Raw genomic sequence first — 12,536 nt, forward strand, 5'->3', positions numbered from 1 at the left:
CCAAATATCTTGTAACCCACCCCTTCTCTGTTGAATTTATGATTAACTATTAGTTTTAAATGTAGGTAAAATTTTAACATTATCCAAAATGTATATATTTATGGGTACAACTTAATCCCTTGAGTTTGTGGGAAAAGTCTTAGTAATACATATATGAATTTATGCATTAAGAGATGTATCTTGGGACAAACTTGTCTCCACTTATGAAGAAAAGTATAACAAAAGCATTGCTCAAATAAATCTTTACAGCCCAACTAAATCTTCTAGTAGATGCATAAAACTCTCATTTGTTAATGCTTAAGCTTAGTTGGCTAAGACTGACCTTTTTATCATAGCCACCTCTAGCACAAGCATGTTACCCAAAAAATCAGGACAGCAGAAGTCACCAAAAAGGAAGAGGATCTTAATATATGGAAAGAGCAGAGCAGAGATTTCACATCAGCCTGTCTTGGTGTGAATCCTGCTGAGTACATAACCAGTAATTTATCTCTCTGAGCTTCACTCAGGTGTATGCATGTGAGAATACAATGACACCGCCTACCTGCACTTTTTATTTATTTTTTTGTTTATCAGTGGAGGGGCCATTTTGGTGAGTCTATGGACTGGTGCAAATACATGATTTTCACAATCAAGAATTGGACACTTAGAAGTTTTAGCAGATATGATAATGTTGGTTTGAATTACCCTTCACTTTTTATGTGTCAACTTCTGTATCTGTAAAATAGGAGATAAATATGTTATAGTGATACTGTAAGTGTTAAAAGACAAAAGTATAGAAAAATGCTTCACTATCATTCATGATTCAAATCAGAGGAACTCATCTGTGCATCCTTAATCATTCAGGTGGGTAGAAGTACTAATGCCGGATTCTAATCCTTTGAAAAGAATGACACTGGATCTATGTAAACAGTAGCACGACCACGAAATAGGCTGTCTAGTTAGTCATAAGCCCAAGCAGTTTAGGTAGATATTTATAAAGAGCTCATATTAGCCTATTTCAATTACTTTCCTCAAATTTTAAGCTCTTTTACATCAGCCCCTTTCAGGAGTTTATGGGAAATTTTCACCTACATTATAGGTGTACATATAGGATGTTTTAGGGGAGATATATGCTATTGTAGTTTTTCAGGACCCTATGTCTCATATATAGAAATAATAACCCTAACATTCAATGAGTGCTTACTATATGCCAAGCATTATCTTAACCACTTGATGTGGACTGTCTCAATTAATCCTCAGCACCATTTTCCAGATGGGCAGCTGAGACACAGGGGACTAAGGAACATGTTTAGCTTTGCTGTCTAAAGCCATAGGATGACAAAGTCGTGGAGCTGAAGTGTGAACCAACAAACTGTAAACCTAAGCCTTCATTTTTAGCCACTGCTCTGTATAGCCTCCCAGGAAACTTCAGTAAATAAAAGTTAAATAAATAAATTAATAGATACAGTTGTTTGTATCTGGGAAAAGAAACCTTCTTTTTTTTAAACTCCTCTTTCTTTTCTTCTTAAAAACTGTAAAAAAAATTATTTATTTATTTATTTATAATACTTTAAGTTCTGGGATACATGTGCAGAACATGCAGGTTTGTAACATAGGTATGCATGTGCCTTGGTGGTTTGCTGCATCCATCAACCCGTCATCTACATTAGGTATTTCTCCTAATGCTCTCCCTCCCCCACCTCTACCCCTGACAGGCCCCAGTGTGTGATGTTCCCCTCCCTGTGTTCATGTGTTCTCCTTGTTCGACTCCCACTTATGAGTGAGAACATGTGGTGTTTGGTTTTCTGTCCCTGTGTTAGTTTGCTGAGAATGAAGGTTTCCAGCTTCATCCATGTCCCTGTAAAGGACATGGACTCATCCTTTTTTATGGCTGCATAGTATTCTGTGGTATATATACGTGCCACATTTTCTTTATGCAATCTGTCATTGATGGGTATTTGGGTTGGTTCCAAGTCTTTGCTATTGTGAATAGTGCTGCAACAAACATATGTGTGCATGTGTCTTTATAGTAGAATGATTTATAATCCTTTGGGTATATACTCAGTAATGAGATTATTGCTGGGTCAAATGATATTTCTGGTTCTAGATCCTTGAGGAATCACCACACTGTCTTCCATAATGGTTGAACTAATTTACACTCCCACCAACAGTGTAAAAGCATTCCTATTTGTCCATATCCTCTCCAGCATCTGTTGTTTCCTGACTTTTTAATGATCACCATTCTAACTGGCCTGAGATGGTATCTCACTGTGGTTTTGATTTGCATTTCTCTAATGACCAGCATTGATGAGCTTTTTTTCATATGTTTGTTGGCCACATAAATATCTTCTTTTGAGAAGTGTCTGTTCATATCCCTTGCCCACTTTTTGATGGGGCCGTTTTTTTTTTCTTGTAAATTTGTTTAACTTCCTTGTAGGTTCTGGATATTAGCCCTTTATTAGATGGATAGATTGCAAAAATTTTCTTCCATTCTGTAGGTTGGCTGTTCACTCTGATGATAGTTTCTTTTGCTGTGCAAAAGCTCTTTAATTTAATTAGATCCCATTTGTCAATTTTGGATTTCGTTGTCGTTGCTTTTGGTGTTTTAATCACGAAGGCTTTGCCCATGCCTGTGTCCTGAATGGTATTGCCTAGGTTTTCTTCTAGGGTTTTTATGGTTTTAGGTCTTATGTTTAAGTCATTAATCCATCTGAAGTTAATTTTTGTATAAGGTGTAAGGAAGGGATCCAGTTTCAGTTTTCTGCATATGGCTAGCCAGTTTTCCCAACACCATTTATTAAATAGGGAATCCTTTCTTCTTCCTGGTTGAGTCTTGGGAGGGTGTATGTGTCCAGGAATTTATCCATTTCTTCTAAATTTTCTAGTTTATTTGCATAGAGGTGTTTATAGTATTCTCTGATGGTAGTATGTATTTCTGTGGGATCAGTGGTAACATCCCCTTTATCATTTTTCATTGTGTCTATTTGATTCTTCTCTCTTTTCTTCTTTATTAGCCTGGCTAGCAGTCTACCTATTTTGTTAATATTTTCACAAAACCAGCTCCTGGATTCATTCATTTTCTGTTCATTTTGCATTTGCATTGCTTTTGTCAGATTTGTCGAAGATCAGATGGTTGTAGATGTGCAGCATTATTTCTGAGGCCTCTGTTCTGTTCCATTGGTCTATATATCTGTTTTGGTACCAGTACCATGCTGTTTTGGTTACTGTAGCCTTGCAGTATAGTTTGAAGTCAGGTAGTGTGATGCCTCCAGCTTTGTTCTTCTTGCCCAGGATTGTCTAGGCTATACAGGCTCTTTTTTGATTCCAAATGAAATTTAAAGTAGTTTTTTTCTAATTCTGTGAAGAAAGTCAATGGTAGCTTGATGGGAATAGCATTGAATCTATAAATTACTTTGGGCAGTATGGCCATTTTCACGATATTGATTCTTCCTATCCAAGAGCATGGAATGCTTTTTCATTTGTTTGTGTCCTCTCCTATTTCCTTAAGCGGTGGTTTGTAGTTCTCTTTGAAGAGGTCCTTCACATCCCTTGTAAGTTATATTCCTTGGTATTTTATTCTCTTTGTAGCAATTGTGAATTGGAGTTCACTCATGATTTGCTCTCTGCTTGTCTATTATTGGTGTATAGGAATGCTTGTGATTTTTACACATTGATTTTGTATCCTGAGACTTTGCTGAAGTTGCTTATCAGCTAAAGGAGATTCTGGGCTGAGACGATGGGGCTTTCTAAATATACAATTATGTCATCTGCAAACAGAAACAATTTGACTTCCTGTTTTCCTATTTGAATATCGTTTATTTCTTTCTCTTGCCTGATTGTCCTGGCCAGAACTTCCAATACTGTGTTGAATAGGAGTGGTGAGAAAGGGCATCCTTGTTTTGTGCTGGTTTTCAAAGGGAATTCTTCCAGCTTTTGCCCATTCAGTATGATATTGGCTGTGGGTTTGTCATAAATAGCTCATTATTTTGAGATACATTCCATCAATACCTAGTTTATAGAGAGTTTTAAGCATGAAGGAGTGTTGAATTATGTCAAAGGCGTTTTCTTCATCTATTGAGATAATCATGTGGTTTTTGTCATTGGTTTTGTTATGTGATGGATTACGTTTATTGATTTGCGTATGTTGAACCAGCCTTGCATCCCAGGGATGAAGCTGACTTGATCGTGCTGGATAAGCTTTTTGATGTGCTGCTGGATTTGGTTTGCCAGTATTTTATTGAGGATTTTCGCATCGTTGTTCATCAGGGATATTGGCCTGAAGTTTTCTTTTGTTGTTGTGTCTCTGCCAGGTTTTGTTATGAGGATGATGCTGGCCTCATAAAATGAGTTAGGGAGGAGTCCCTCTCTTTCTACTGTTTGGAATAGTTTCAGAAGGAATGGTACCAGCTTCTCTTTGTACCTCTGGTAGAATTCAGCTGTGAATTTGTCTGGTCCTGGGCTTTTTTTGATTGGTAGGCTATTAATTGCTGCCTCAATTTCAGAACTTGTTATGGTCTATTGAGGGATTCAACTTCTTCCTGGTTTAGTCTTGGGAGGGTGTATGTGTCCAGGAATTTATCCATTTCTTCTAGATTTTCTAGTTTGTTTGCAGAGAGGTATTTATTCTCTGATAGTAGTTTGTATTTCTGTGGGATAGTGGTGATATCCCCTTTATCATTTTTTATTTTGTCTATTTGATTTTTCTCTCTTTTCTTCTTTATTAGTCTTGCTAGCAGTCTATCAATTCTGTTGATCTTTTAAAAAAACCAGCTCCTGGATTCACTGATTTTTTTGAAGGGTTTTTTTTGTCTCTATCTCTTTCAGTTCTTCTCTGATCTTATTATTTCTTGTCTTCTGCTAGCTTTTGAATTTGTTTGCTCTTGCTTCTCTAGTTCTTTTAATTATGATGTTAGGGTGTCAATTTTAGATCTTTCCTGCTTTCTCTTGTGGGCATTTAGTGTTATATATTTCCTTCTAAACACTGCTTTAGTTGTGTCCCAGAGATTCTGGTACATTGTGTCTTTGTTCTCATTGGTTTCAAAGAACTTCTTTATTTCTGCCTTAATTTCGTTATTTACCCAGTAGGCATTCAGGAGCAGGTTGTTCAGATTCCATGTAGGTGTGCAGTTTTGAGTGAGTTTCTTAATCCTGAGTTCTAATTTGATTGCACTGTGGTCTGAGAGACTGTTTGTTATGATTTCAGTCCTTTTGCATTTGCTGAGGAGTGTTTTACTTCCAATTATGTGGCCAATTTTAGAATAACTGTGATGTAGTGCTGAGAAGAATGTATATTCTGTTGATTTGGGGTGGAGAGTTCCGTAGATGTCTATTAGGTCTGCTTGGTCCGGAGCTGAGTTCAAGTCCTGAATATCCTTGTTAATTTTCTGTCTCGTTGAGCTGTCTAATATTAACAGTGGGGTGTTAAAGTCTCCCACTATTACTGTGTGGTAGTCTAAGTCTCTTTGTAGTTCTCTAAGAACTTGCTTTATGAATCTGGGTGCTCCTATATTGGGTGCATATATATTTAGGAGAGTTAGCTCTTCTTGTTCCATTGATCCCTTTACCATTATGTAATGCGCTTCTTTGTCTTTTTTGATCTTTGTTGCTTTAAAGTCTCTTATATCAGAGATTAGGATTGCAACTCCTGTTTTTGTTTTTGTTTTTTTTTCTTTCCATTTGCTTGGTGAATATTCCTCCATCCCTTTAATTTGAACCTATGTGTGTCTTTGTATGTGAGATAGGTCTCCTGAATACAGCACACTGATGGGTCTTGACTTTTTATCCAACTTGCCAGTCTGTATCTTTTAATTGGGGTATTTAACCTGTTTACATTTAAGGTTAATATTGTTAAGTGTGAATTTGATTCTGTCATTACGATGCTAGCTGATTATTTTGCCCATTAGTTGATGCAGTTTCTTTATAGTGTCGAAGGTCTTTACAACTTGGTATATTTTTGCAGTGGCTGGTACTGGTTTTTGCTTTCCATATTTAGTGCTTCCTTCAGGAGCTTTTGTAAGGCAGGCCTGGTAGTGACAAAATCTCTCAGCATTTGCTTCCCTGTAAATGATTTTATTTCTCCTTTGCTTATGAAGCTTCGTTTGGCTGCACATGAAATTCTGGGATGAAAATTCTTTTCTTTAAGAATGTTGAATATTGGCCCCCACTCTCTTCTGGCTTGTAGGGTTTCTGCAGAGAGATCTGCTGTCAGTCTGATGGGCTTCCCTTTATGGGTAACCCGAACTTTCTCTCTGGCTGCCCTTAATATTTTTCCCTTCATTTCAACCTTGGTGAATCTGACAATTATGTGTCTTGGGGTTGCTCTTCTCGAGGAGTATCTTTGTGGTGTTCTCTGTATTTCGTGAATTTGAATGTTGGCCTCTCTTGCTAGGTTGGGGAAGTTCTCCTGGATTATATTCTGAAGATTGTTTTCCAACTTGGTTCCATTCTCCCCATCAATTTGAAGTACACCAATCAAACATAGGTTTGGTGTTTTCACGTAGTCCCATATTTCTTGGGGGCTTTGTTTGTTCCTTTTCATTCTTTTTCCTCTAATCTTGTCTTCACACTTTATTTCATTAAGTTGATCTTCAATCTCTGATATCCTTTCTTGCACTTGATCGATTCAGTTATTGATACTGTGTATGCTTCACAAAGTTCTCATGCTGTATTTTTGAGATCCATCAGGTCATTTATGTTCTTCTCTAAACTGGTTATTCTAGTTAGCAATTTCTCTAACCTTTTTTCGAGGTTCTTAGCTTGCTTGCATTGGTTTAGAACACGCTCCTTTAGCTTGGAGGAGTTTGTTATTACCCACCTTCTGAAGCCTACTGCTGTATATTCGTCAAACTCATTCTCCATCCAGTTTTGTTCTCTCGTTGGCAAGGAGTTGTGATCCTTTGGAGGAGAAGAGGTGTTCTGGATTTTGGAATTTTCAGTCTTTTTGCACTGGTTTTTCCTCATCTTCGTAGATTTATCTACCTTTGGTCTTTGATGTTGGTGACCTTCAGATGGGGTTTCTGTGTGGACGTTGTTTTTGTTGATGTTGATGCCATTCCTTTCTGTTTGTTAATTTTCCTTTTAACAGTCAGGCTCCTCTACTGCAGGTCTGCTGGAGTTTGCTGGAGCTCCACTCCAGACCCTGTTTGCCCGGGTATCACCAGTGGAGGCTGCAGAACAGCAAATATTGCTGCCTGATTCTTCCTCTGGAAGCTTTGTTCCAGAGGGGCACCCACCAGATGCCAGCTGGAGCTCTCCTGTATGAGGTATCTGTTGACCCCTGCTGGGAGCTGTCTCCCAGTCAGGAGGCATGGGGGTCAGGAACCCACTTGAGGAGGCAGTCTGTCCCTTGGTAGTGCTCGAGCACTGTGCTGGGAGATCCGCTGCTCTCTTCAGAGACAGTAGGCGGGAACATTTAAGTCTGCTGAAGCTGCGCCCACAGCCACCCCTTCCCCCAGGTGCTCTGTCCCAGGGAGATGGGGGTTTTATCTATAAGCCCCTACTGGAGCTGCTGCCTTTCTTTCAGAGATATCCTGCCCAGAGAGGAAGAATCTAGAGAGGCAGTCTGGCTACAGCGGCTTTGCCAAGCTGCAGTGTGCTCCACCCAGTTCTAACTTCCCAGTGGCTTTGTTTACACTGTGAGGGGAAAACCACCTACTCAAGCCTCAGCAATGGTGGATGCCCCTCCCCCAACGAAGCTCTAGCATCCCCAGTTGACTTTAGACTGCTGTGCTGGCAGCGAGAATTTCAAGCAAGTGGATCTTAGCTTGCTGGGTTCCATGGGGGTGGGGTCCACTGAGCTAGACCACTTGGCTCCCTGGCTTCAGCCCCCTTTCCAGGGCAGTGAATAGTTCTGTCTTGCTGGCATTCCAGGTGCCACTGGGGTATGAAAAAATACTCCTGCAGCTAGTTCAGTGTCTGCCAATATGGCCGCTTAGTTTTGCACTTGAAACCCAAGGCCCTGGTGGTGTAGGCACCAGAGGGAATCTCCTGGTCTGCAGGTTGCAAAGACAGTGGGAAAAGTGTAGTATCTGGGCTGGAGAGCACCATTCCTCACAGCACAGTCCCCCATGGCTTCCCTTGGCTAGGGGAGGGAGTTCCCCAACCCCTCGCACTTCCCAGATGAGGCGATGCCCCACCTTGCTTCAGCTTGCCCTCCATGGGCTGCACCCACTGTCTAACTAGTCCCAGTGAGATGAGCTGGGTACCTCAATTGCAAATGCAGAAATCACCTACCTTCTGCCTTGATCTTGCTGGGAACTACAGACTGGCACTCTTCCTATTCAGCTATCTTGCCAGCCACCTATTTATTTATTTTTTATTCTTTTCTCCTTTTGAGGAGGCATTTCTCTTACAAGGAGGCAGGAATGTGATACAACAACCAGATGCAAAAATCAGGAGTTCAACAAAAACCTCCACTGCTTACCAATAACTGAGAGCAAGATTGTGTCCCAAATTGAGAAATTTCAGTTCCACTCCCCAGCTCTGCTTCTGTATCATTATTGATTCTCAGGAGAATAAACCAGAGGTTGAGACTGGGACTACAAGATGGAAAATGGGGCTACGTCTTGTCTCCAGTGACATTATTTAGTGTGTCTGAAATCATAAATAGTATAATTATTGTTACATTAACAAACCTTTTATTAACAGTTTCCCTTCTAGACACAGAACGTTTTACCCCCTTTTAATAAGAATTTTTTGAAAAAGCTTTAGTTCCCCCAAATTTCCACAAAAGACTCAACATGTGGGGTCCCCGTTGCCCCTATACTTTTTGGTCACCCATTATTTCTCTTAATGTATGGGTCTTAATATCCTATCATAGTTTATATTAATACTAAAGGACAAGAAATAAATCATACTTGTCTCATTATTGGAACAAAACAATAATTTAGACGGTTGGTGGTCAGTGCATAACACAAATTTTTAAAAATATAGATGACAACATGAGCTGGTGATTGTCAAGTTTCCCTAGTAAATTATTTTGGAATATTTAGCCCATTCATCAAGAAAAGTTAGGCAGTTTCAGGCCAGGTTACAAGTGGAAAGACATTTGTCAGGGCTGTTTTCACTGGCAAAGTACTTTAATGAGATGGCATTGAGAGAAGATAGCTAAAAGAACAAAGTCAGGTTTGTTGTGAGGCCTTCAGTAACCCAAGAAGCCACACTGCTTGGGGGCAGAGGCTGTGGAAAGGGTAATTACAGGGGGTTCCAGTCACACATACACCCCACAGAGAAACAACTGGCCATTGATGGTCCACACCAGTGGAGGGGCACGGAGGCTGGGAGGATGCAAAACAGCAGATACCTCAGAAATTATTTCTGATTGCCTTTCAAGGCATTATATTTGTTCCATCACTAGGAACAAACAAACAAACAAACAAACAAGAAAGCTAATAGTGGCAAAAGCAAGGAAAATATAGAAAGGGAGATTTCACAAGCCAGCATTGTGAAACAAAAAGAAAGAGGTGAGTGGGCCCTCTTTCAATTTTGTTGAATTAATGCAAGCCACAGGATGTTTTGATTTGGTGTGGATGTTCCTACTGGGAATATATGAAGGTTTGTGAGTTTAAGGAAGAAGATCTGTCACCCACAAAAATCTGGTAAAAGGATGTCCGTGGATATGAAGAATCCCTGGAATGAGGGGTGCGTCCCAAATCTGCTCGAACATTTATAGTACAAACTTTACAACTTAAGCCAGTGCCTACAAGGCCATGGGGATTACAGACTCTACTACCACTGTCACTGGTAGACTGTTCACTTCCTCCTGGAGACCCTGGGAAGGACTGCAGTAAATTTAAAAGTCATATTGCATTACCAGAGAGATTAAGATGAAACACAGGGAGTTCAGGAGCTAAAAGACAGACAAGCAGGGTGAAGTGACCATCTTTCAGGTAGATGCCATTAACATGTTTGATTCAAAGGAAGAGAGAATAGAGGGAGAAACTGAAGAGGTGCTTTCAACAGCACTGGGGCTGGAGTCATTAAACGGCAACTGCTATTGAGGGAAAGCCTACTTCTATAAAAAGCCACTGAGAGGGAAAAGTTAGAAGTTGCTCCAGTGGCAAGAATACTCTAGAAACAGGGTAAAGTTGCAATACTTATTAGGGCTTAAACAGAGATAATGAGGAATAATTTTGATGAGCACAATCATACATGATTGATTTTTTTTTAAACAAAATCCTCTGATCTTGATTACACACTCTGATATATAAACCACCTTCCCTTTTTAGAAAGCTTAACCCCTCTGAATAAATTCAGCTCATGTTTCAAATTAAGTTATAATGCCAGATTGAATTCAAATAAAACATAAAATAAATTTGTGTTCTTGGTACTCAGGGAAATGTAGCATGTTTTATTATTATTTCTTCAATGTGCTTGGTATAGTGTCTTTCACTTCACAGGTGAGAAATAAACATGTTGACTCTCTTGATGTAATTGGTGCTCGTGTTTCTTCTTAATAATCAATTCTTGATGCCACGGATTCTACTACTGACCTGATTTGATAGTGACCTCCTAGTTTGTTACATCCTCTGGACATTTTACATCTGTTAATTTCATCAATTTTACCTAGAATTTTATACCTTCCTTCTCTCCATTCCTTGTTTTTGTGGTAACTATCTCTCAATTCTTCTTGTACCTCTCTTGACTACCCTCCTTTTTATTTCCTTTGCAGTTCTTCCTCCTTCTCTTCCAAAACCTTTAAATATTTCTATATTTTTTGCTGGCCCATGTGTTCTGACAAATCCCACATCCATATCTCCAGCCCAGAATGGTTTTGTGAGCTCAAGAAGCATATATCCAATAGCCTACTAGAAATCTGCAACTGAGTGTTCCAGTGATAATTCAAATTCAAATATGTACATTTCCCCTACCAAACTTCTTATATATTTTCTTGATGAAAGGCCCAATTTTTACCCAGTTACCCAAGGCTGGAATTTATCACTCATCTTAGACTTGTCCCTCCCTGTGCCCCTGATGTTCAATCGGTAGCCCTTCTATATGTCCTCTCCATATTACTACTTTTGCCAGAGTCCAGTCTATCTTCATTTCTCTCCTAAAATGTAGCAATAGTGCCTTTTTGTTTAGCTGAGCCTCTAATTTTCTATCTCCAACCCAGCCTTAATTCTGCCCCCAAAATGACTTCTCTCAAACAATGTCAGAAGAAAGGGCAGAATCACATTGCTAAGAGGAAAACCCTAAGTCACCATGTGAGCATCAAATCAAGTTGCTGTATGGGCTTTTCTGTTCTGTGAGCCAGTGTCTCCCCCAGCCCCTGCTTTCTTTTTCTTTTCTTTCTTTTTTTTTTTTCCATTTCAACCAGTTTGAATTATGTTTTCTGTCACTTGCAACCAAATGATAATTAACTAACATACCATTATACATATGGAATAAAAATTAAACTTTCTCTCCCTGGCAATCTAACCTTGTTTCTCTCCTTTCACTCCCTACTTCACCCTCTCTAGCCCAGGATACCCTCATGCCTTTACAATTCAGATCTCTCCCCTCATTCAAAATCCTGCTCCTTCTTTAAGTCTCTGTAAATTCTTCTTTGACTCTTTCAGGTTGAAATAGGCATTGTTAAGATGTCCTGTGCTCAGTAGGGTCACTTACAAAGTAATCTCAATCAATGGATGGGACCATCCATGGAATGAACTGATAAATACCATCAACAGCATTTGAGTGAAAAGCACAGCTTGGATGAATTTGGGAGAAACTTTTTTAGTTGACGGGAGATGCTTTGAACTTTTAGAACCGTGGTGCTGTCTTCCAAGGTAGGAATGAATAGAACAGTATTTTCAAGTGAGAAGATGCTTGATAAATATCCTATCAGGTCAAATGAAAGGAAATCTCAGTGTTTCTATGACTAGGAAACCGTGAGAGGATGGGTAGGAGTAGGAGGCTCCTCCCTTATACAGTAAAGTTCAGTGAACAAGTGTCTTTTTAGCATATTACCATAAAGTGTATATGCAAAATACACCACTAAATTTTCCTAAACAATTAGTAATATTTCTCTTCATTTTCTGCTTTCTCCAAATCATTAGTTGTATTCATTTATTTGATTTCTACACTGGTACTTTTAAGAAAAAAGTCATTTTAAAATGCACTATTAAGAATATCTTTTACATTCAGAGAACATGTCTCCTTGATTTTCTGCTGGATTCACATATTTGCAATCTTCCTTATAGGGAAAGGCAGGACAGAAGGCAGGAGCTTAGATTAGGCACCTACTCAGTGGGCCAGAGCCTTTGCAAGTGTTGTTTAATTTAATTATCATGAGATTATTATTATTATTATTATTATTATTATTATTGGTATAGGTGGGTGTTGGTTGAGGGCAACCTCTTTTCTTTATAAGAATGCCCCCCAGATGGATCAGGTCTCACCGAGTTTTCACAACATGAAGAGAGAGGAGTGTAGTGCTGAGAACTTCAAACAAGGGTGGAATGATGGGTTTACATTTTAGCTCCACCCTTTACCAGCTGGGTGACTATGGATAAGTGGCTTAACCGCTCTGAACATTGGTTTCATCATCTGTAAGATGAGGAAATTAATAGTACTTA

At 39.2% G+C, this 12,536-nt stretch overlaps 1 long non-coding RNA gene across 3 annotated transcripts in view; it reads right to left on the minus strand.

Moving 5' to 3' along the window:
- Positions 1-633: 633 nt before the first annotated feature.
- Positions 634-12,536, minus strand: part of LOC105374243 (uncharacterized) — a 33,238-nt gene continuing 21,335 nt past the window's right edge. For all 3 annotated transcript variants that reach the window (XR_924756.2, XR_924757.2, XR_924758.2), the window contains 2 exons: positions 8,402-8,571; positions 634-714 (listed from right to left, as the gene is read on the minus strand). This is a non-coding gene — a long non-coding RNA (uncharacterized LOC105374243). The remainder of the gene's footprint in view (positions 715-8,401; positions 8,572-12,536) is intronic.

The sequence above is a fragment of the Homo sapiens genome, chromosome 3, assembly GCF_000001405.40.
Source record: "Homo sapiens chromosome 3, GRCh38.p14 Primary Assembly".
Taxonomy (NCBI): Eukaryota; Metazoa; Chordata; class Mammalia; order Primates; family Hominidae; genus Homo; species Homo sapiens.